The sequence below is a fragment of the Homo sapiens genome, chromosome 4, assembly GCF_000001405.40.
Source record: "Homo sapiens chromosome 4, GRCh38.p14 Primary Assembly".
NCBI classification, from domain to species: Eukaryota; Metazoa; Chordata; class Mammalia; order Primates; family Hominidae; genus Homo; species Homo sapiens.
Genome location: NC_000004.12, coordinates 25,534,279 through 25,560,219, shown reverse-complemented (window position 1 = coordinate 25,560,219; position 25,941 = coordinate 25,534,279). Strand labels below are relative to the sequence as shown.

Genomic DNA, 25,941 nt, shown 5'->3' with positions numbered 1-25,941 from the left:
GCTCAGCCACCACTCCTGGCTAATTTTTGTATTTTTAGTAGAGACAACGTTTCACCATGTTGGCCAGGCTGGTGTTGAACTCCTGACCTCAAGCGATCCGCCCGCCTCAGCCTCCCAAAGTGTTGGGATTACAGGGGTGAGCCACCACGCCTGGCGGGAAACCCTTTCTCTATCCTTTGGGGCCATCTCCTTGAAATGAAAGGAATTAAAGGGTGTGGCCCCAAGGGGAGAGAACCCCGGTTTGACAGAGCCTGGAGTGTCAAGGCTCTACCACTATGACACATGGAGTCAGGACACCAGGTCCGGGTTCTTGGGCCTCTTAGCACCACACTTCACTGCCACTTAATCTTGAAATTCTGGAATAGTCTCCTGCAAAAGATGAGCCACGTTCAAACAACAATTTGAACCCAACCCAAGCTCTTGTATACTCTTAACTACTACGAGATCAATAACTTTCACAATTCTCTCATTCTAAACATGAAACAATTTGCTCACTGGACAAAGAGCCATTCATCTGTTCCTTCATTCACTCAGTAAATATGCATAAGATCGTATGATGTGCCAGGCACAGTTCTCAGTGCGGGGACTATAGCAGTGGACACCACAGACAGAAATCCCTGCCCCATAGGGCCCATGTGCTGTCAGGACTAGACCAACAATAATAAATACACAAATAAGTAAGTTATATTGGATATTGGAGATAACAAGAGATAAGAATTGAAAAGGAGAGAGAGAGAAAATAGGTGGAGTGAAGCCAGGCATGGCAGCACATGCCTGTTGTCCCAGCTACTACTACAAAGGCTGAGGTGGGAGAATTGCTGGAGGCCAGGAGTTCAAGACAAGCCTGGGCAAGTAGCAAGATCCCATCTCTATTTTTTTTTTCTTTTTTTTGGAGTAAGAGTCTTGCTCTATAGCCCAGGCTGTTGTAAAGTGGTGTGATCTCGGCTCACTGCAACCTCCGCCCCCTGGGTTCAAGTGATTCTCCTGCCTCAGCCTCCTGAGTAGCTGGGATTACAGGTGTGCACCACCGCGCCCAGCTAATTTTTGTATTTTTAGTAGAGATGGGGTTTCAGCATGTTGGCCAGGCTGGTCTTGAACTCCTAACCTCAGGTGATCCACCCACCTCGGCCTCCCAAAGTGCTAGGATTATAGGCGTGAGCCACCACGCCCGGTCACCTGTCTCTATTTTTTAGAATATGGGGGATGAAAGGGATTGAGGATACAGGTAGGGAGTGGTAGTTGATGTTTTCAGGAGGGAAGTCGGGATTGGCCACTTGGAGAGGGAATATTTAGATCTGGAGACTGTAAGGGAGTTAGCGTGTGCACACCAGGCAAAAGAACTCAAGTAGGCTTACAAAAAATGGGCGTGTGACTCACGTTTTGTAAGTCTGATCCTACTTTTCCACCATGTTACATAATAACTGAAGATATATATTCCCAAAGAGGGAGAAATGATTCAAAGAGTAATAAAATAGAAATCATCATTGATGCAGGGAATATGGGAACATATGTTTTAAAGCTAAGTGACAGCATTTAACTAAAATCTAAACCACCATTCTTAATCAGTCCCTCCTGGAAATGCCTTGCTAAAGAGATTTGCACACAGTAGCAGCTGAGGAGGCATTCAAGGCTAAATGCTCTTCTTGCAGGAAGAACTTGGGGCTTGCTTTTCTTTTGCAAAAGGAACTTTTCAGAAGTGTCTTGCAGCTGCCTCCCTCTGCCAAACACTGAAAAGGACACAACCTCTCACCCGTGGTTCCCCTGGCTGAGTCTAAACCATGGGCATACAGTCAGGCAAATCCAAACTGAGGAACACTGTGAAAAACAATTGGCCTGAACTCTTCAAAAATGTTAATGTCATAAAAGATGTAGATAGACAGACAGATAGATAGATAGATAGATAGATAGATAGATAGATAGATAGATAGGCTGGGAGAGCTGTTCAAGAATAAAGGAAGCTAAAATGACATAACAACAAAATACAAGGCCTGATCCTTCATTGGATATGCTGAATTAATGTTTTTCTTAAAAAACCTAAACAGCTATAAAAGACATCATTGGGACAACTGGAGAAAAGTGATTATGGGGCCGGACACGGTGGCTCACGTCTGTAATCCCAGCACTTTGGGAGGCCGAGGCGGGTGGATCACGAGGTCAGGAGATCGAGACCATCCTGGCTAACACAGTGAAACCTTGTCTCTACTAAAAATACAAAAAATTAGCTGAGCGTGGTGGCGGGCGCCTGTAGTCCCAATTACTCGGGAGGCTGAGGCAGGAGAATGGCATGAACCCGGGAGGCGGAGCTTGCAGTGAGCCGAGATCGCACCACTGCACTCCAGCCTGGGTGACAGAGTGAGACTCCGTCTCAAAAAAAAAAAAAAGAAAGAAAGAAAAGAAAAGTGATTATGGATTATATGTTATTTTTATTTATTTATTTATTTATTTATTGAGACAGAGTCTCGCTCTGCGCTCTGTCTCCAGGCTGGAGTGCAGAGGCATGATCTCAGCTCACTGCAGTCGCCACCTCCCAGGTTTAAGTGATCTCAAGCCCCAGCCTCCCAAGTAGTTGGAATTACAGGAGCTCGCCACCATGCCCGGCTAAATTTTGTTTTTTTAGTAGAGACATTTCGCCATGTTGGCCAGGCTGACTTGAACTCCTGGCCTCAAGGGATCCGCCCACCTTGGCTTCCCAAAGTGCCACTATATGTTAAATAATAGCATCTAATGATTACTAAATTTACTGAGTAATAATTTTATTGTGTTTCTGAGGGAGAATGCCTCTGTTGTTAGGAGATGTGTGCTGAAGTGTTTAGGGAGATAGTCTTATGATTTCTGCAAGTAACTCTCAAAAGATTCAGCAAAATCAAACAAACATAAATAAACAAGAGTGTATACAAATACAAAGAGAGAGAGAAGAAATGTGGCAAAAATGTTAACAGTTGGTAAATTTAGGAGAAGAGTATATAGAGGCATTCATTGTCCTATTCTTGCAATTTATTTGAAGATGTAAACTTCTCATTTAAATTTTTTGAGACAGGATCTCTCTCTGTTGTCTATGGCTGAAGTGCAGTGGCACTATCATAACTCACTGCAGCCTCAAACTCCTGGGCTCAAGCCATCCTCCTGCCTCAGCCTCCTGAGTAGCTGGGACCAAAGGCTTATGCCATTTTTCTTTTAAAGTTGGGGAGAAAGAATCCTTCAACCAGTCTTCACTCTGTCTAGACATCCTTGCAGTGGTTTTTCTCACTGTATGACTTTATTGCTGCCTTATATCCAATTTTTTTTCCTTTTTGAGATGGAGTTTCGCTGTGTCACCCAGGCTGGAGTGCAATGGCATAATCTTGGCTCACTACAACTTCTGCCTCCCAGGTTCTAGTGATTCTCCCACCTCAGCCTCCTGAGTAGCTGGGATCACAGGCACACACCACCATACTTGGCTAATTTTTGTATTTTTTATTAGAGATGGGGTTTCACCATGTTGGCCAGGCTGGTCTTGAACTCCTGACCTCAAGTGAACCACTTGTCTCGGCCTTCCAAAGTGCTGGGATTACAGGTGTGAGTCACTGCACCTGGACTGCTTTATATCCTTTTTGCAATAAGGAGTGTGGGGTGTAAATGATTTAAAAACAGCAGCTTCTTTCCAGACACTTTAATTTTATTTATTCTATTTTGTTTTATTTTATTTTATTTGGTATTGCCAGACATTTTTAGCAGGGAACATGTGATTAAAAAAATATATAGCCACCTTGCCATTTAAAAGTAAAAATACCTGCTATAAAAAAGACACAGCTACAGGACAGGCACAGTGGCTCACGCCTGTAATCCCAGCACTTTGGGAGGCTGAGGCGGGGGGATCACTTGAAGTCAGGAGTTCAAGACCAGCCTGGCCAACATGGCGAAACCCAGTCTCTACTACAAATATAAAATTAGCTGGGCATGGTGGCACATGCCTGTAATCCCAGCTACTCAGGAGGCTGAGGCAGGAGAATCGCTTGAACCCGGGAGGTGGAGGCTGCAGTGAGCCAAGATCATGCCACTTCATCCAGCCTGGGCAACAGACTGAGACTCTGCCAAAAAAAAAAAAAGATACAACTACAGAGGCAAAAATCAGGACAGGGGCTGCCAAGGATTGGGATGGGGAAGAGATTGACTACAAAGGGGCATGAGGGAACTTTAGGGGGAATGATGAAATATTATCTATGTAGTATCTATCGTAATTGTGGTGATAGTGGTACAGCTTACATTTGTTAAAACTTTAGATGTGTATACCTAAGAAATGCAAATTTTACTGTGGCAAGTTATATCTCAGTAAACCCGACTTAAACACACACACACACACACACACACACACACACACACACACACAATAACAACAACAACAACTGTTTTTCAACAAGTTGAGATGAGTCTGTATTAGAAACTTGTTCTACGCCAGGTACAGTGGCTCACACTCGTAATCCCAGAACTTTGGGAGATGGAGGTGGGAGCATTGCTTGAGGCTAGGAGTTGGAGACCAGCCTGGGAAACATAGTGAGACCCCATCTCTAAAAAAATTAAGAAATTAGCCAGGCATGGTTCTAGCTACTCAGGAGGCTGGGATCGCTTGAACCCAAGGAGTCTAAGGCTTCAGTGAGCTGTGATTGTGCCACTGCACTCCAGCCTGGGTAACAGAGTGAGATTCCGTTGCTTAAGGAAAAAACAGAAACAAAAACAAACAAAAAAACATGTTCTAAACAAAGCCTTAGAATTGGTACTTCCTTAAAAGGCAGAGGAGAGAAGATAGAAGTTTCTAACGGCAAAAGCATTTTCTGAATGTTTGAAAAATGCACACAGCATAAGCTGTTCATTGTCTGGGGTTGTTTGGAAGTCTAAATTAATAGATTAAATCTCAACTCTCTGCAGCAGGCAGGAGGCACTTTCAGGTCCCTATCGTAACTTCAACTGGACTCCATTGGTCAGGTTAAGACCCTTTAGGGATCTGCTGTATGGAAGAAAAGGAACAGTTTTATTTACCAAATCAATATGTTGGTGTGCAAATGAGGGCCACTGGGGTGGTGAAAAACAGATTACTCTCAGAAAGATCAAAAATTTCATCTGCAACATCTTTTGGACCATTAGGCATTGCACACTTATAGAACAGGCTGGATTCAAGTCCACCCCTCCTCCCCCAGGGCTAGGCATGTAGAATACTCAAGCCAGTAACTTATGGTCAATGCCTTTGTTCAAAGCCGGAACGTTTGGTTCTGCATTGCAGGAACAGTGAAGAGAGACAGCATCTCCTTCCTCTGAAGATTCTGTTCAGAATGGATAAAGGTTCAGCATCCTCCCTGGATGGGGCAGCTTAGCAGGTGAGTTCCTGACATTTCTGAGTAGACACGGGACTCCTCCATCCTCCAGTCCTCTACAGAAACTGCACACCAACTTCACTGGTCAGAGAGGCAGGCACCACACCCCAGCCCTTTGCATCCAGGTGACAAACAGCCAGCACTTCTTCTAGGTGGGTTGAAGTGTTTCCAATAGTGTGGAAGGTGAACAGCACCAAGGATTAGTGTCTAGGCTCCGGACTCAGTGTCTGGATTTGATTCCACCATCTTGGGCCCTTAAGCAAGCCAGTATCCCTACACTTGCCTGCATTTTGCCATCTGTAAAATGGCAATGATAATACTAACAGCAAATGCTTGCATGTATCTTCTTCCTATCAGACACGGTTCTGAGCACTTTCCACATACCAGCCAGAGAATCCTCACACAGCAGTAGTTGAAGTCAGTAGCATTATTCTCCTCCTCCTCCCCTCCTCTCAGTGAGGAATAAATAAATTCATACCATGAAGGGCTTGGAAATAGTTCAGGGCCCAAAACACTCAATAAGTTTAAGCTATTATTGAGATGGTTTCAAAGGTCACATGGATAAGCATTTTTAGGTCCAGAGATGTGCATTTACAAAAATAAATGCAGGCCACGCGTGGTGGCTCATGCCTATAATCCCAGCATTTTGGGAGGCCGAGGTGGGCAGATCACCTGAGGTAGGTCAGGAGTTCAAGACCAGCCTGGCCAATGCTGCAAAACCCCATCTCTGCTAAAAATACAAAAAATTAGCCAGGTGTGGTGGGCACACCTGTAATTCCAGCTACTTGGGAGGCTGAGGCATGAGAATCGCTTGAACCTGGGAGACCAAGGTTGCAGTGAGCCGAGATCGTGCAACTGTGTTCCAGCCTGGGCGACAGAGCAAGATGCCGTCTCAAAAAAGAAAAATTAAAATAAAATAAAGAGACTCAGCAAAAATTACAAAGGTGGAATGCAAATGCCCAAACATGGAAAATACTGCTCTAGACCCAGAACAGCCAAAATAGTGCCTGCTTTTATTTACGTATTTATCATTTATTTATTTATTTATTTTAGAGACAGGGTCTCTCTCTGTTACCCAGGCTGGAGTGCAGTGGTGCCAATGATAGTTCACTGCAGCCTCAATTCCTGGGCTCAAGTGATCCTCCCACCTCGGCCTCCCAAAATACTGGAATTACAAGTGTGAGCAGCCACCCTGCCCAGCCAGTGCCTGCTTTTAGTGGCTGTCTTCCCTCCTCTCCTCCCTTACAAATGTCCACCTCTCTGTGGTCCAGCAGGCAAGAAAGAAGTCAACTGAGTTTCTTCTAGAGAAATTATAGAAAGAAAGAAAAAGAAAGAAAGAAAGAAAGAAAGAAAGAAAGAAAGAAAGAAAGAAAGAAAGAGGAAGGAAGGAAAGAAAGAAAGAAGAAAGAAAAAGAAAGAAAGAAAGAAAGAAAGAAAGAAAGAAAGAAAGAAAGAAAGAAAGAAAGAAAGAAAGAAAGAAAGAAAGGGAAAGAAAGAAAAGTTGACTGAGACATGGCCCATTCCCTCCCTGGGACCAGCCTCTTCTTTCCAGCTCAAGGGTCAAGACAGTGTCCCCAGGAAGAAGCAAAGGCTGTGTTTTCCACACTCTTATCTAGAGGTGAGCTGGCAGAAGCTCCTCCCAGACTGCATCTATCAGACAGGGAGACAATAACTGCTTGGGTGAGGAACAAAGGGAGGAGACACCAACTGTCCCCACTAATGACAGAAGATGTGGCAGCCTGAAGCCCTAATATTGGCTGTGGCCCTTTAAGATCCCTCCCCACTTAACTGTAACACCCCCCTTCTCCAGGAAACTGGCAAGGACCCTTGGCACTGTTGGCCAGCGCTCTTGGAGACAGCCAGGACGGGGTTGGCAGGACTGCCTACACTGCTTTGAAAATATTTAACAATAGGTAACTTTGGCATTTCGAGAAGGTCTTGGATCACAGGAGTTGTGGAGGCCCTGGGAGATGTAGAAAAGACATAGTGAAAGCTTTTGTTTTGCCCGGAAGGAAAACATGTGGATGTCTCAGTCAGCTCAGACTTCTATTTGGCTGATGGGGAAGTCAGGGAGAGCTTGAGTGTTCACAGAATGCCACCTCTACCTTGTAGCTGCCACGCGGAATCGTTCAATCTCTCATCTGACATCACCTTCACAGATTCAGTTTCATTCGCAAGGAAGACACTGACCAAAAAAAAAAAAAAAAAAAAAAAAAACAGAAGTAACTTTCCTTTAAAGGGCTCCAAACCTCCTGCTACCAAAAACTAGAATTCTTGGTCTCTCTGGTTTACTGTCCCCCCAACCCAAGTTTGTCCCCCCCTCCCAGACATCCACATGCTTTCCTTGAGGTCAGGAGTGATCCTCCCACCTCAGCCCCCTGAGTAGCTGGGACTACAGGCGATGCCACCATGCCTGACTAATTTTTAAAAATTTTTTATAGAGATGGGGTTTCATCATATAGCCCAGGCTGGTCTTGAACTCCTGAGCTCAAGTGACCTGCCTACTTCTGACTCCCAAAGGCTTGAGATTACAGGCGTGAGCCACCACACATGGCCTAGTTTTATTATTTAATTTTTTTTTTAAGAATAGGGATTTGCTGTGTTGCCCAACCTGGTCTCTAATTCCTGGCTTCAAGTGATTTTTCTGCCTTGGCCTTCCAAAGTGCTAGGATTATAAGCATGAGCCACCACACCTGGCCCCAGTTAAATTTGAATTTCACATACACAGGAAATGATATTTTATTTTATTTTATTTTTAATTTGTTTTATTTTGAGACAGTCTCACTCTATCACCCAAGCTGGAGTGCAATGGTGCAGTCTCGGCTCACTGACTGCAACCTCCGCCTCCTGGGTTCAAGCAATTCACCTGCCTCAGTCTCCAGAGTACCTGGGACTACAGGCATGCTCCAACAACCCCGGCTAATTTTTGTATTTTTTGTAGAGACAGGGTTTTACCACGTTGGCCAGGCTGGTCTTGAATTCCTGACCTCAAGTGATCCACCCACCTCAGTCTGCCAAAGTGCTGGGAGTACAGGTGTGAGCTACCGCTCCCAGCCAAGGAATGATAGTTTAGTGTAAATATGTACATCCATTCAAGGGAATAAAAGTCAAGTTAGCAAAGATGAGTCATAAAATAATGTTATTACAGTTTTGTGATCGCTCAGGAAACAAGTAATATAAGCATAAAACATTATGAATTTACTATACTATTATTATTTTATTTTTATTGATATTAATTGAATCTTAGTAGACTAAAATGATACAGGTATTAACCAAAGACATGAACAAACATAGAGTGTGAGATGTTAGAGACCGCAACACACATAGGTTATGTTGCAGTGCAGCACTAAGAATGAATGTCTGTGTGTAGTATATATTAATTCTTTTCCCCATATGATTTTCTAGAGCTGGAGGGATTAAAAATAGGTCTATGAGGCCGGGCATGGTGGCTCACGCCTGTAATCCCAGCACTTTGGGAGCCCAAGGCGGGGAGATCACTTGAGGTCAGGAGTTCGAGACCAGCCTGGCTAACATGGTGAAACCCCATCTCTATTAACAATACAAAAAATTAGCAGGATGTGGTGGCACCAGCCTGTAGTCCCAGCTACTCAGGAGGCTGAGGCAGGAGAATCATTTAAACCTGGGAGACGGAGGTTGCAATGAGCTAAGATTGCACCACTGCACTCCAGCCTGGGCAACAGAGCGAGACTCCATCTCAAAAAGAAAAAAAAAAAATTTGCCTTTTCTCTCTGAGCACTTTCAGAATTTTCTTTTTCAACAACAACAACAACAAAAATAGCATACCAAGGATAGGAATAATTGAAGAAATGTGCAAGATGTATGCAAAGAACATTGTAAAATCTTACCGAAGTTCACCAAAGACTTGAACTTGTATTTTCTCTCAATCCTCATCACAGTGCTTCAAGGTGGATATCATTTTATCTTTCTGCACTCAGAAAGATTAAATAAATTGCTCAAGTCCACAGAGCAGCAAAGCTGCAATTTAAACCAGATTCTCACATTTGTGCTCCGTATGGTAACTCCTGCTAGCCCCAAGGAACTGATATAAGTTAATGAAGTAACCAAATGTGACTTTATTACTTTATTACTTTATTATTTACTTAATTATTATTACTTTATGTCAAGATTATTCCTACACGCACATGCTGGCTCACAAATTATAGGTTTCTCCTTGGTTGTAAAAATCGCATGAGTCATATTTGTGGCAAGAATCATGTAACAGTGCAAGGAAATTTTGAGATTTTTGGAGTAGATGTTCCTCAGATTCTGAAATGCTCAGGTGAGATAAGGATGTGCCTCCGGGCCCTTGCACTTGCTGTTCCCTCTATCTGGAAAGCACTTCCCCAGATACTGGCATAACTACCTTCCTCATTTCTTCAAATCTTTGCTTAGATATTGCCATCACAAAGAGTTCTTTCCTGGCCACCCTACTTATAATTACAACCTCTTCTGGCTTTATTTTTTCTCACAGTACTTATCACTATCTAGTGTATGTATAATTTACATTTTTATTTTGTTTACTGTCTCCTCCTCATCCTCTACCCACCCCTCTGCCCCCCAAAAAAATGTTAGCTCCAGGATAGAAGCAGAATTTTGTCTTTTTGTTTTGCCATCAGCTCTAAGAACAGTGCCCTATACAGAGTTGGTACTCAGTACTTGTTGAATGAATGTATGAGCAAATGAAACCAGAGGAACACAGCATATACACCACTCAAAGGAAGCCCTGCACTAGCAAATTATGAACTTGACTCCAAGGTCATCTCAAGATGGCAGGAGAGAGGAACAGAAACAGAGAGGAACACAGAACTGACTGGCTGTGAATATACGTTCATTCTACTGTATCTGTTTTTGCATTTTCTATAGAGAATTCATGATTTAGATGTCCCTTTGTGACTTGCTTCTGTTATTTATATTCTGATTGCAGGATTTATCCATGTTTTCATGTGCAGCTGTAAAATTTTGTTATTACTCTAGCTGTATGGGAACCATTGCAGGAATAATATACAATTTATTTATCCATTCTACTATTTTGGACATTTGGGTTGATTCTTCTTTGGGGCTATTTTGATCCATGCTGGTGTGACCACTTTGTCAAGTTTCAGGTGCACATGAGTAAGAATTTCTCTAGAAGGACAGGCATTTCTTCTATTTTGCCAAATAATATCAAACTGTTACCTAAAGTGGTTGTGCTAATTAACACTCCCACCAGCAGTGTATGGGAGTCACCATTGCTCCACATCTTAGCCAACACTTGTTATTATCAGACTTTTTTTTTTTTTTTGAGATAGAGTCTTGCTCTGTGGCTCAGGCTGGAGTGCAGTGATACAATCTTGTCTCACTGAAACCTCCACCTCCCAGGTTCAAGCAGTTCTCCTTCAGCCTCCCAAGTAGTTGGGATTACAGGTATGCACCACCATGCCTGGTTAATTTTTGTATTTTTAGTAGAGATGGGGTTTCACCATGTTGGCCAGGCTGGTCTTGAACTCCTGACCTCAAGTGATCTGCCCACCTCAGCCTCCCAAAGTGCTGAGATTACAGGTGTGAGCCACTGTACCTGGCCTATCAGATTCTTTAATTTTGCCCTGCTGGTGAGAGTAAAATGGTGTCTCCCTGTGGTTTTATTTTTATTTTCCCTGATTATAAATGAGATTGACAATCTCTTTATAAGATCAATTTGTGCTTTTTACATTTATTTATTTATTTATTTATTTATTTAGAGACGGAGTTTCACTCTTGTTGCTCAGACTGGAGTGCAGTGGTGCAATCTTGGCTCACTGCAAACTCCGCCTCCCCAGTTCAAGCGATTCTCCTACCTCAGCCTCCCGAGTAGCTGGGATTACAGGCACCCACTGCCACGCCAGGTTAATTTTTGTATTTTTACAAAATACAAAATATATAATACATAATACAGAAGGGGTTTCACCATGTTGGCCAGGCTGGTCTCAAACTCCAGACCTCAGGTGATCTGCCCACCTTGGCCTCCCAAAGTGCTGGGATTATAGGCGTGAGCCACAGTACCCAGACTACTTTCTTTTTTTTTTTTTTTGAGACAGAGCCTTGCTCTGTTGCCCAGGCTGGAGTGCAATGGCATGATCTCGGCTCACTGCAACCTCCTCCTCCAGAATTCAAGTGATTCTCCTGCCTCAGCTTCCCAAGTAGCTGGGATTACAGGCATGCGCCACCACGCTCGACTAATTTTTGTATTTTTAGTAGAGACGAGGTTTCACCATGCTGGCCAGGCTGGTCTCAAACTCCCGACCTCAGGCAATCTGCCCGCCTCGGCCTCCCAAAGTGCTGGGATTACAGGCGTGAGCCACCATGCCCAGCCTACTTTCTTTTTTTTAATTTAATATTATCGTACACTGTTTGCACGCAGCCATCTGTATTTTCTTTATTCATATGCATTAGTAAAGGAATAAGAATGTAAGTAAATACAAAATAATTTAAATTCTAGCCGGGCATGGTAGTCTATATTAATAATACAAAAAATTAGCCAGCCGTGGTGACACATGTTTGTAATCCCAGCTACTCAAGAGGCTGAGGCAGGAGAATCGCTTGAACCTGGGAGGCAGAGGTTGCAGTGAGCTGAGATCGCGCCACTGTACACCAGCCTGGGTAACAGAGTGAGACTCCGTCTCAAAAAATAATAATAATAATTTTAATTCAACTTTGGGATAGTCACTGTTTTGCCTCCATACTTCCCTTTTGAAATCAGTTCTGCTTAATCAGTCATTAAATCTAATTTAGAATCAAAGACTTGGCCAGGCATGGTGGCTCATGCCTATAATTCCAGCACTTTGAGAGGCCAAGGTGGGCGGATCGCTTGAGCCCAGGAGTTCGAGACCAGCCTGGGCAACATGGTAAAACCCCATCTCTACAAAAAATACAAAAATTAGCTGGGCATGGTGACACATGCCTGTGGTCCCAGCTACTTGAGAGGCTGAGGTAGGAGGATGGCTTGAACCCGGCAGGCAGAGGTTACAGTGAGCGAAAGTCATGCCACTGCACTCCAGCCTGGGTGACAGAGCAAGACTCTGTCTCAAAAAAAAAAAAAAAAAAAAAAGAAAGAAAAAAAGAAAAAAAGAATCACAGTCTTTAAAAGTGGAAATTGTGATATCGTAATAGCTAATATTTGTTGAGTGTTTATTATGTGCTAGTTATTGTGCTTTACGTACAAAGGAATGAAAAACTTGCTATTTAAAATGACAACTTCCTTCTAAGGACAGGGAGTCTCTTATCTGGAAAGTTCACTGAGCACCTTGGCTCAATTACGAAAAGTGAGTGCAGAAGGAAATTTGGTGCTCAAAGCTAGAGAAAGCCGAACCACTCTGCCTCATGAAATGAGAAGAATGTGGAGTTCTAGGGTAAACAGAGAGAGAAGGAATGAGGAGGAGAGAGGAGAGGAAACATGGGAGGTAGGGTGGGGGGTTTCAGTCAATATGGTGATGGATGGATCTCAAGGTGCTGAAATGATCAAGGGATCCTTCAATTTTCAGTACAACGTCTTGCATTCTATCTGTAACACAATGCACAGAGCCCTATGAGGGTGGCTTATGTTTCGGTGATTTTTTTTTTTTTTTTTTTTTTTTGTAAAATTTTTCCACATGGGCTGGGTGCAGTGGCTCATGCCTGTAATCATAGCACTTTGAGAGGCCGAGGCAGGTGGATCACCTGAGGTCAGGAGTTCGAGATTAGCCTGGCCAATATGGCGAAACCCTGTCTCTACTGAAAATACAAAAATTAGTCGGGTGTGGTGGTTCATGCCTATAATCTCAGCTACTGAACCGAGATTGCGCCACTGAACTCCAGCTTGGGTGACAGAGTGAGACTCCGTCTCAAAAAAAAAAAAAAAAGAAAAAAATTCCCACATGGGGAAACACATTATGGGAGAGGACCAGCATGTTGTTATGTGTGTTTTGTTTTTATTTTTTCTTATTTGTTTTTGAGACAGAGTTTCGCTCTAGTCTCCCAGGCTGGAGTGCAATGGTGTGATCTCGGCCCACTGCAACCTCCGCCTCCTGGGTTCAAGTGATTCTCCTGCCTCAGGCTCCAACGTTGCTGGGATTACAGGCGGGCACCACCATACCCAGCTAATTTTTTTGGTGTTTTTAGTAGAAACGGGGTTTCACCATGTTGGCCAGGCTGGTCTCCAATTCCTGACATCAGGTGATCGCTGGCCTCAGCCTCCCTAAGTGCTGGGATTACAGGCGTGAGCCACCATGCCCAGCCCAGCATGTTTAAGACATAGAGGCAATACTTAAACAGAATTAATTCACCACATGCAGAAACTCAAACCCAAGATGAGCAGAAGGTAAGCCCTACCACCTCCCCACTCACTGCATGAAGGCTGGGGTTGAAGAACATTTTATCTAAAATTAAGGGAGTAGCAAGACCCCAGCTGATCTCTAAGTAACATTTCCATTATCTGCTTTCTTTAATCTTCACAACAATCCTATTAGGTACATATTAACATTACTCCTAAACACAGTTAAGGATCTCAAGGCTCAAAAGGGGCAAGTAATGTCCTATACAAAAAAATGGAATCACTGATTACTGAACTTCTAATTAATTTTGCAGATGGGGAGACTCTTCCATTTTCATCACATAGAAATGCTAGATAAAATTTAAACCCTTTGTCCCAGTTTTTAAATACCTGGCCAATTCTGAAAATAAGAAAAGAATATCCCCCAGACTTCAGGGCAGGGAGCAGGAGCTAAAAAGAAATAGTCCATGAGGGTATTAGAGCTAGATAAATACTGCAGAGACTGATGATTAACAAATGCTCAGAACCTCTCAGCCTATGAGAGGTGGGGAGTTGGAACTGACCACCCCCTCACCCCAGCATAAATCTGAGCACCAAGAAACAGCCAACAGAAGTCCTTTTATTAGCCAGAAACACAGCAAGAAAGTTGACCATCTTCCAGGGCCATAGAAAGTACGAGAATCAAGCTGGGCATGGTGGCCCATGCCTGTAATCCCAACACTTCGGGAGGCCGAGGCAGGATTGCTTAAGTCCAGTTGTTCAAGACCAGCCTGGGCAATATAGTAAGACCACATCTCCACTAAAAATTTAAAAAGTGAACCTAGCGTGGTAGTTCATGCTGGTTGTCCCAGCTACTCAGGAGGCTGAGGCAGGAGGATCACTTAAGTCTGGGAGGTTGAGACTGCAGTGAGCTATGATCACACCACTGCACTCCAGCCTGGGTGACACAGTGAAACCCTGTCTCAAGAAAAAAAAAAAGAGAATCACTTGAAAGAACGCAGAACATCCACCTGCATCATACACAAACCTGTGGTCTTAATCCATGCTACCAATCAGTCAAAAGAACCCATTCCGAGAAACAAACATAAAGCTGGTCAGGCGGGTGGCTCCCACTTGTAACCCCAGCACTTTGGGAGGCAGAGGCAGGAAGATCGCTTGAGCCCAGAGGTCCAGGCTGCAGTGAGCCGTGACAGCACCACTGCATTCCAGCTGGGGCAAAAGAGTGAGACTCTGTCTCAAAAACAAAAAACAAAACAAAACAAAACAAAAACCCAACAAAACAAAACAAAAAAACTGGTCTGGATCTATAAGGTCTGGAACAAGCACACGCATTTCACAGAAAATCACTGCCCGCAAAGATAAACTCATGGTAAAAAAAAAATTACTAAGTTCATGAAGTAAATAACTGCTGTAAGAGAAAATTAGTATGCACAGCAAATGCAACAGAATTTAGAACCAAGAACTTACATATAAAGCCATCTCAAAGAGACCTTAAAATCATATATTCAAGCAGGCAATAATACACAGGAATAAAATGCATGAAAGAAAGAAACAAAAGAAAATAAAAGAATAAAACACAAAACTAGGATTGGGGGGGACTGTGAAATTTTTAAAAAATTCAACTGAGCTAGAAATAAAATGAGAGTCATTAAAAATAAAACTTCAACGAACACATTATACAATACACTAAAGAAGTAACTCATAAACTAAAAGGTAGATTTGAGGAAATCACACAAAATGCAGCTCATAAAGAGGTGAAAAGTATGAAAGCAGTCAGGAAACAGTTCATACAGAAGGAACAGATTCAGCATATATTTACTAGGAGTCCTACAGGGCCGATAGAGACAAGAGGAGGGAGGTAGTATCAGGCATACATGCCAAATCATTATGCAGGAGTGAGCAGAAAGAGATATTTCAGACACAAAAGGTTAGGGAATTTTACTGCAAACAATTCCTTATTAAGAGAAATAACAAAGATGATATCTCAGCAAGTAAGAAACCAAACCTATAAGGAAGGTGTATAACGCAAAAAGCCAATGATGAGTCAGGAATGGATTAAAAAGTTGATAAATCTAAACAATATTCACTGTAAAATTATGATAACTAACAACAATGAAGAGCAACTGGGAGTATTTATTTTTATTTTGTAAGTGAAACTAAAATATTGCCCAACAATATTACGGAAGATGGGAGGAGGTTTTAGGAGTAAAAGCATGCAAAGTTCCTTGTATTGTTTGAGGAAATAATAGAGATTTTCATTAGCTCTAAACCTGCAATCATGCATGCTAATAATTAACCACCAATGAAAATAAATCAAATGTTTAACTTCTAAACAAGGGAAGAGGAAAGAGTGGATGAAGAAGCAAAGAAAAAGCATGGTACACATTATAGGCAGTGGCTCACGCCTGTAATCCCAACACTTTGGGAGGCCCAGGCAGGCAGATGACATGAGGCTAGGAGTTTGAGACCAGCCTGGCCAACATGGTGAAACCCTGACTCTACTGAAAATACAAAAATTAGCCGGTCATGGTGGCACATGCCTGTAATCCCAGCTACTCAGGAGGCTGAGGCAGGAGAATTGCTTGAACCCGAAGGGGAGGTTGCAGTGAGCCAAGATCACACCACTGCACTCCAGCCTGGGCAACAGAGTGAGACCCTGTTTCAAAAAAAAAAAAAAAACTATAAAAAAAAAGCTAAATAAGTAAAAACAAGCCCAAACATACCAGGAATCATAAGAAATATGAATGACTATAGAGAAATTCTCACGCATATTCCCCCCAAAAAATATGCCAAGATGTGCATTACAGCATTGTTTTTAATGGGAAAAAATTAGAAACAGTCCAAATTTATCAGCCTTAGGGCACTAGATAAATGCATCATGGCATATTTATAATTTGAAACTGTCTAGAGGGGTTAAAAGTGAATAAAATTTATTTATATATGAAATTTGGGGGTTTTGTTTGTTTGTTTGAGACAAGGTGTCACTCTGTGACCCAGGATGGGAATAATTATGGGATCATGGCTCACTGCCTCCTGGACCTCCTGGGCTCAAGGGATGCTCCTGCCTCAGTCTCCTGAGTAGCTGGAACCACGGGTGTGCACCACCACACCCAGCTAATGTTTTATTTACTGTAGAGACAGGGCTTCATTATGTTGCCCAGGCTAGTATTGAACTCCTGGGCTCAAGCAATCCTCCTGCCTCAGCCTCCCAAAGTGCTGAGATTACAGGTGCGAGCCACTGTGTCAGCCTGACATTTGTTCTTATATATCAAACCTGGGAGGTTTGATAAATATATATATATAGGGCCCGAAATTATAACAACTGAAAAAAAGCCAAGTTGCAGAGTTTTGTATATATATGTAGTATTTTATATATATAACATATGCTATATATTATATAATTAAGAATATAATATATATTATTATGTTATGTACTTGTATTACATATAATATAGCATAATATTATAATATAGTATATATTCTATATTTATATTTTATAATAAAAATTATAAGCTACATTATATATTATATTTTACATATTATAATATATTATATATTCATGTTTTTATAGTTTATTATGAGCAATATATAGCTTTTTTGAATACGTAAACAAATGGCATTATATTATATATAATATAGGATATATTTATATTAATAGTATATTAGTATAGTATATTAATAATATATTAATATCTATAGTATGTGGCATTATACTATATGTAATATATTATTCTATTGGTAATTATATTACTAATATGTTATATTAGTATAATAATATATTTTGTTATTATACTAATAATAGCATAATTATATATTATAGGCTGGGCATGGTGACTGAGGTCTGTAATCCCAGCAGTTTGGGAGGCTGAGGCAGGCAGATCACCTGAGGTCAGCAGTTTGAGACCAGCCTGGCCACCATTGCGAAACCCCATCTCTACTGAAAATACAAAAAAATTAGCCGGGCATGGTGGTGTGCTCCTGTAATCCCAGCTACTTGGGAGGCTGCAGCAGGACAATCCCTTGAACCCAGGAGAGGGAGGTTGCGGTCAGCTGAGAGAGCGCCACTGCACTCCAACCTGGGGGACAGGGCGAGACTCCATCTAAAAAAAAAAAAAATTTTATATTATAATATAATTATATTAGTACTATTATATTCGTAATATATTCTAATATATTACTATATTATATATAGTATAATGCCATATACTATAGATAATAATATATTAATAATTATATATAGTATAATGCAATTTGTTTAAATATTCAAAGAATGTTATATGTTGTTCATAAATAAACTATAAAGACATGGATGAGAAGGATACAGAAGCTTCTGGAATGGGGAAAGAGAGGTTCAGTTGTATCTTTTTTTTTCTTTTTTGAGACGGAGTCTCGCTCTTTCACCCAGGCTGGAGTGCAATAGTGCGATCTTGGCTCACTGCAACCTCTGCCTCCCAGGTTCAAACAATTCTCCTGCCTCACCCTCCTGAGTAGCTGGGATTACAGGCACCTACCACCATGCCCAGCTAATTTTTGTATTTTTAGTAGAGATGGGGTTTCACCATGTTGCGCCAGGCTGGTCTTGAACTTCTGACCCCAGTTGATCCCCCTGCCTTAGCCTCCCAAGGTGCTGGGATTACAGGCGTGATCCACAGTGCCTAGCCATTCAATTTTATCTTTAACGCATTACTTCTTTAAAAATGTCTGAAACAAAGACATCAAAAAATTAACAATGTGTTCATTTCTGTTGGTACTTTATCATACTCTGTACTTTTCTGGATGTTTATGTCATAATAAAAATGCATTCATGACTCAAAATATTATAGAGCTGGAATGTTTAATAAATTAAATTTACATTAACATTTGAATTAAATTAAAATTTTAGTTTCAAAGTGGCTCTAGCCACTTTTCTTTCTTTCTCTTTCTTTCTTTCTTTCATCCTTTCTTTTTCTTCTTCTTTTTTTTTTTTTTTAATAGATACAGGGTCTCGCCATGAGCCACAGCACCTGGCCACTTCTCATTTTTAATACTGTAGGTAGGTATTAGTGATAGCAATATGCAAAGTGTAGACCAAATGAGTCCTGAGCATGCAGCATAGATATAGACCCCTACGGGAACTTGGTTAAATGATATTATTCTGTCGTTTTATGTTTTATCAAATTACTTGCAGTTCCTAGAAGGCTCATGTCCAATTAATTGAGATTTTCCTACAGCATTTCAGCTGATAACAGCCACAGTAATTTAAAACTGGTAATAATGATAGGGTTGTTCCAGTTACTATATATTTGATTCCCAAACTGTTCCAATTCCACCCAGTGACTTGCCAAGGTATAAATCTGGTAAAATTAACACAAAGGAGGACATTTTTCAGATTTTCTCATTTACTAAAGTAAGGGCTATAAACAGTTGTCTGGCCATTATTTCACTAGGAATTTCAACATTAACAACAACAACAACAAACATGCATTACAAAAGCATTGAGAAGGTTGGAAAACCCAGCACTGGCTTTAGGTAGGGAGAGATTTGAGACTTTGCCCTCAGACCACAGAATTACTGCAGGCCATTAATTTCTTTCCATTTGGGCTTTAATTGGCTTTCTCCCTGGCACAAAATCTCCTGAATCTCCTCTAACTGTCTAATCAAGGCCGAGCTGTGAAGTACAGCAAAGCAAAGTGAACTTTGTTCTATATGTAGACAACTCCCAAAACATAGAAGTTTTATCAGCCATCATCAGGTTAGCACATGGAAAATTCCTGGGGCTACGGAAAGCTTTGGGGGATATAAAACTATTGATCATATCCTCCTAAGTAGCAAGTCAGTTTCAATACTATGATTCCATGAATGGGTGAGATATATTTATTCATTCATTTGGCAGTTATATTTCTGAGCACCTACTAGGTATCAGGCACAGTCCTAAGAGATACAGTGATGTAGACAGACACAGCCCCTGGCCTTATGTTGCTGATAATCCACATGGAAGAGCTGTCATCCTGGCCTGTGGTACAAGGTAATATATAAGTGAATCCTAGCCAACCAAAAATGCTAAGTGCTTTGCAGCTTGATGAATGGTGGAGTCAGGTTCTCTTTGTAAATAGAACTGGGGTCTTTGTAAAAGGTGAAGCTGAATTTTTTCCAAAATTCCAGTCACTGGAAGTGTTAGCGAAGAAAATCTCACTCTTTGAGCCATACCTATGTTTTCTTTTTTAATTTTTAAAGTATTCTTTTTTTTTTTTTTTCTTGAGACAGGGTCTCCTCTGTCACCTAGGCTGGAGTGCAGTGGTGCCATCACAGCTCACTGCAGCCTCATCCTTCCCGGCACAAGCAATCCTCCCACCTCAGCCTCTCGAGTAGTTGAGACTACAGGGGCACACCACCACACCTGGTTAATTTTTTATTTTTTTGTAGAAACAGGGGTCTGCGCTATGTTGCCCAGGTTGGTCTCAAACTCATGGATGCAAGCGACCCTCCCACCTTGGCCTCCCAAAGTGCTGGGGTTACAGGTATGAGCGACCATGCCCGGCCATCCATGGTTTTTATTAAACACTCAAATCTCCCTAATTCTACCAGAATAAATATGCAGTCACCACCTTACAGACTTTCTGAGGAAGACCCAAATTGTAACAGAGGGATTGAATTAAAAGAAGAAATGAGATGTTCCCGTGTGGTTTAAGGCCAAAGATAATGCATAAGGAGTAGAAGAGAGGAAAGCACAGTGATTGTGCATCCCTTTGGAGCAGAAGCTAACCTTCATTGAGCATTTTCTTGGTTTCACGGGCCATTTATCCATCATTCATTCAATTCTCCCAACAACCCTGCAAAGTAGACACTCTCATCCCTATTTTACCACTGAAGTAAATGAAGTTCAGGTTGGGAGCAGTGGCTCACACTTGTAATCCCAACAATTCAGGAGGCTGGGGCCGGAGAATTCCTCCAGCTCAGGAGTTTGAGACCAGGGCAACATAGGGAGACCCTGCTTCTGTTAAATTTAAAAAAAAGAAAGAAAGAAAAGGAAGTTCTGAGAGGGGGTGCCTCTCCAAGGCCACAAACTAAGGAGTCAAGAGCAGAACCCATGCATGCAGCTTCACCTTGGTGACTTTGAACTCACCTGGTCTGACTTATAGATACGGATAACCTCTATGACCCCTGCCAGTGTCTCTGAGTCAATGAGTGCACCCTGTCGCTCAGCCTGAAGTCAGATGGAAATCAGGAGAGACAGTTAAGCTGCTGATAATTAAGGGGTTAGAAGTGTAAATCAAAATGAGCATTGTTTTATGAGTCTCTTTTTATTACTTTCAAGTTTTATTCACCTGATAAGGTAAAAAGAGAATAAAAACAATCAAGAAGGCGAGTCCTTCAATACCCAGGTTACTGCAGCATTTTTTTCTCATTGTGTTTTGTGGACAGATTAAGTATTAAATTATAAAACTAATCTGTTCAGATATCAGGAATAGTGTCAACTTTGATAAAGATTCACTCACTCTGAAGATTACTTTCAAAATGACCTGATCTGACTCAATGAATAATTTAACAATTGATTTTCTGGCAGAAACACTAAAGAATGAAAGACAAGGCCTCCTAAGATCATCTTGGGAGGAAAAATTTCCTTTTTGCTGAGACCTTTATTTCACCTTTAGTTTGCCTGCGATTGACTTTGATGGGAAGATTCCACCATTAGTTCCTGATGGACCAGAGATTTATAGCTTTTCAAATAGATGCTATTTATCTTGATGCGAAGATATATATCGAGGGAAGGGTTGCTTATCGTGTGCCTGAACCTGGGTCAGGCACTAGGGATGCAGAAGCCAGCAGTGTGCATGGGTCCTTACCCTGGCAGAACTTAAGGTCTGGTGGCAGAGGCAGCAGACAGACAGAGACTCAGATGCAGAGTGAGCAACACTCTGGAAACCTAGAGGAGGTACTCTTCCTTCATACTCAGGGACACTCCTCAGATAAGTGCAGGAAGCACAGGAAGTGCAAAGGCCAGGGGGAAAGAGAACCATGGCGCCTGCAGGGATCTGCATGCATCTGAGCAATATTTGGGTGGAAGTTTACCGGAAGCCACAAAGGAGCAGTCAGATGTTCTCACTGTAAGTGCAACAGCCACGGATACCAACCAATACAGGAATGTGTTATTGCATTAATGGTGAAAATACTACAGGAGCCGTTGTCATCAGAAAATTTCATAATTTTCTAAATTATTGAACAACCCTCAGGTAAGTTCTCAATCTATGAAAGTATAATCAGCGTTCAATTTGTGTAGTATTTGCTTTTCTAGAAAATTCAGTATATAGTGCGTATAAAAACTGTAAAAGGCAGGGCACGGTCGCTCATGCCTGTAATCCCAGCATTCTGGGAGGCCGAGGCAGGTGGATCGCGTGAAGTCAGGAGTTTGAGACCAGCCTGGCCAACATGGCCAAACCCCATCTCTACTAAAAATACAAAAATTAGCCAGGCCTGGTGACTCGCACCTGTGATCCCAGCTACTCAGGAGGCTGAGGTGCCAGAATCACTTGAACTCGAGAGGCAGAGGTTGCAGTGTGAGCTAAGATTGCGCCACTGCACTCCAGCCCGGGAGACAGAGTAACATTCTGTCTCAAAAAGAAAAAAGAGAAAAGAAAAGAAAAAAAACTGTGCAAAAAGTACTTTCAGTATGTAAAAATAGATTAATGTTCTAGAAACAGATTTTATATATACATATATATATTTACTTATTTATTTATTTTTTGGACGGAGTCTCAATCTGTCGCCCAGGCTGGAGTGCAGTGGCACGATTTCAGCTCATTGCAACCTCCGCCTCCCAGGCTCAAGTGATTCTCCTGCCTCAGCCTCCTGAGTAGCTGGGATTACAGACGTGCACCACCACACCCAGCTAATTTTTATTTTTAGTAAAGACGGAGTTTCACCATGTTGGCCCGGCTGGTCTTGAACTGCTGACCTCAGGTGATCCCCCTGCCTCATCCTCCCAAGGTGCTGGGATTACAGGCATAAGCCATGGCATCCAGCCTAGATACAGATAATTATATCCTCATTCACCTATGTATGGAATGTCCGATCAGATGTTCAAAGGTCATGCAAGATTCAGGAGAATTTTTTTTTTTTTTTTTTTTTAGACAGAGTCTCACTCTGTAGTCCAGGCTGCAGTGCAATGGTGCGATCTCAACTCAAACCTCTGCCTCCCCGGTTCAAGTGATTCTCCTGCCTCAGCCTCCTGAGTAGCTGGGATTACAGACACCCGCCATCCTGCCTGGCTAATTTTCATACTTTTGTAGAGATGGGGTTTCACTATGTTGGCCAGGCTGCTCTTGAACTCCTGACCTCAGGTGATCCACCTGCCTCGACCTCCCAAAGTGCTGGGATTACAGGTGTGAGCCACTGCACCTGGACAATTCTTTCATGTGTTGAGTTGTTCTGTGTGTTTGAGGATGCCTGGTATCACAGTTCCCCGTACACTAAATGCCTCAGTGCCTCACAAACCACAAGACACCCCCAGGGAGTGGAGCCATCGTTGTTGGCTGAGGTTAGTGTTCCTGGTCTCTGTGCCCACTCTTCCCCATGGGAGAAGGAGTGACTTTTGATTGGTGAGTTTGGGAGAACCTCATCTCTTCTGTATAAATGCCTGGGAATTCCAGTTCTGCCCAGGACTGATGGGAGAGTTAACTCTAGGAAAGATAGCAAACCCATTAGGCTAATTATGTAAAGACATTCTCTACGCAGCTTTGTCAGCAATAAAGCTGACATTTTTCGCTCTCCATCTGCCTCCTCTCATTTTTCAAATGCTTGAAAGAAGCATTGAAGAAAGAAAAGAGCATTTGTTTATTGCCCCTCCACACACAGCACATTTGGAGAAAAGGATAGTCATTGTTACGCCAGGAGGGTTGGGGCCATCCAGGATGCATGAGTGGAGTGAGGCGTAAAGACCCACATAGAACCTCATCACATAGGCTGTGGCTTCTCAGAGGCCCAGGATTCTGGAGAGGAGCTCTTGGGGATTCTGGGAGAGGAGATAAGAGGAGGGAAAGTGCCACCCATGATTTCAACCATAGCAACTGTGGTTTTCTGTGTTTTATATTGGGTTCGAATATACATAAAATCTCATTTGTTTAAAAAAAAAAAAAGGTTCCACTGCAAAAAGAAAAAAAGAAAATGTTCGGCAACATCTGAGCTGAAGAGTTGGCAGAGAAAAGAAGAGCCCAGGAAGAGTGATAAGGAAGTGCCAAAAATGCAAGAGGAAAGAGGAATATTTGCAGACCAGGAAGCTGAGGAATGGAACTTTTCAAGAGGCAGAAAGTGGCTGAAGGTTGGGTAACACCATAGGGAGGTCAGGGAAGAGGAGGGCAGAAGAGTGACCACAGCGTTTATTGACATTGTGATCTTGGCAGGAACAGGCTCAGGGCAGTGTCAAGGGCCAACCCTAAATGGCAGGGGATTAAGAGGTAAGTAAAGAAGTGAGGAAGTTGAGACCATTTGGACTTCACTGTAAAGAAGATGATGGAGTCCTGGCACAGTGGCTCATGCTTGTAATCCCAGCACTATAGGAGGCCGAGGTGGGCGGATCACCTGAGGTCAGGAGTTGGAGACCAGCCTGACCAACATGGAGAAACCCTGTCTCTACTAAAAATATGAAAATTAGCTAGGCACGGTGGTGGGCACCTGTAATCCCAGGAGGCTGAGGCAGGAGAATCGCTGAACCGGGGCGGGTGGGGGTGACAGAGTTTGCAGTGAGCTGAGATTGCACCACTTCACTCCAGCCTGGGTGAAAGAGCAAAACTTCATCTCGAAAAAGGAAAAAAAGAGGAAGAAGATGATGGACCCTGGATGGTATTAGTTTCTCCAGTGCCTACTGGTTGTCAAAAAGGTCCATGCACAAAGGAAATTAAGTCGCTGCAATGTGCTGGACAATAGAGTATTATTCATGGTTGAAACAGAGAAATCCTTTTTCAAATGTGGTCGAAATAGGAGAAGCAAGGGGTCTGGGAGGAGTAAAACAGCACATCTTTGCCTGCTTTTCTGAAAGGACTGGTTGTAACCATTTTGTTGTTGTTGTTGTTTCATATTGAAGATAGCATTAATCTTTCTAGGAAGTCTGTAGTTCAGATGGGAGCTGCAGTTAACAATGCCCCCTCTGTTGCTAACACGTTAATGAATGTTGAATCAGCAGGAGAGAAATGACTTCTCCTCCCCCATATTCCATGTCCTGCTGATAGCAAGGACATACATGCTGCTGACTGGCTGCCTAATGGCCCATGGAATTCACTGAGGTGACATGGTTAGTGCTGGAGACCTCAAAAGGGCTTCTTCCTTCATTCTTAGACCCAGAGGAAAGCACTGGGAGGAATGAGAAAGTAGCGACTAGACAAAAATGAAAACTCTTTAAGAAGCATTGCTGAAGTTACAGGGGAAAAAGGTAAGAGTCTTAATGGTCATTTTTCTAAGTGCAGCTCTGAAATTGAAATGATGTTTGACCACTCCCACACAAAAACATGGTGAAGAGTGAGATGTGCTTGCATGGCTTTCTGAACTCCACTGGGCAGAAGACCTAACGAGACATGTTAGACCACTGGAAGGAACAAAGGCCCGTGTTCTTCTTCTGGCTCCAGTTCTGAGCTCGTAAGCCACTCTGTTTTCCACCAGTTGCATTCTCTGTGTCTTCATCCACTCATCAACAAAGCCAAATTACAGGCCACTGTGTGGATAATTCAGTCAAGCCTGCCATGTTGCTCAACCAACAGAAGAGAGGAGATTCAAAGGTCAGATGGGAAAGGTGCTTCATGCACTTAAGTTTAATCTCTTAACAACCCGGACAGGCATTATTACCCATTTTACAGATGGTAAAACAGGCCAAGAGAAACAAGTCACTGGCATAAAGTCCCTCAGCTGGTAAGTGACAGAGCTGAGTCAAAAGCCCAGATATGTCTAGCTGTAAATAGTATAAAATGAATGAGTGATAATTGAGTGAATGATAAAAATAAGGAATTAAACTTATGTTTTAGAGATTTTAAGTCTTATTAGGGACTTTTTTTTTTGTTTTCTTTTTTGAGACGGAATCTCACACTGTCGCCAGGCTGGAGTGCAGTGGTGTGGTACCTCTATTCACTGCAATCTCCACCTCCTGGGTTTAAGCGATTCTCCTGCCACAGCCTCTGGAGTAGCTGGGATTACAGGCTCAGGCCACCATTCCCAGCTAATTCTTTTTTTTTTTTTTTTTTTTTGAGACGGGATCTTGTTTTGTTGCCCAGGCTGGAGTGCAGTGGTGCAATGGTGGCTCTCTGCAACCTCTGCCTCCCTGCTTCAGCCTCCCGAGTAGCTGGGACTACA

At 42.4% G+C, this 25,941-nt stretch overlaps 1 long non-coding RNA gene across 1 annotated transcript in view, besides 1 other annotated feature; it reads left to right on the top strand.

Annotated features, from left to right (window-relative positions):
• LOC101929161 (uncharacterized) overlaps positions 1-25,941 on the top strand; it is a 38,307-nt gene that overhangs the window by 9,127 nt on the left and 3,239 nt on the right. Inside the window, exons 2-3 of the long non-coding RNA NR_134641.1 lie at positions 5,255-5,348; positions 24,937-25,030. This is a non-coding gene — a long non-coding RNA (uncharacterized LOC101929161). The remainder of the gene's footprint in view (positions 1-5,254; positions 5,349-24,936; positions 25,031-25,941) is intronic.
• Positions 24,455-24,995: an enhancer, noted in NCBI's record as "NANOG hESC enhancer chr4:25536847-25537387 (GRCh37/hg19 assembly coordinates)". NCBI's record gives its function as "activates a minimal SCP1, AML or CMV promoter by ChIP-STARR-seq in naive and primed H9 embryonic stem cells {active_cell/tissue: H9 hESC(naive and primed)}" and the evidence as "EXISTENCE:reporter gene assay evidence [ECO:0000049][PMID:30033119]".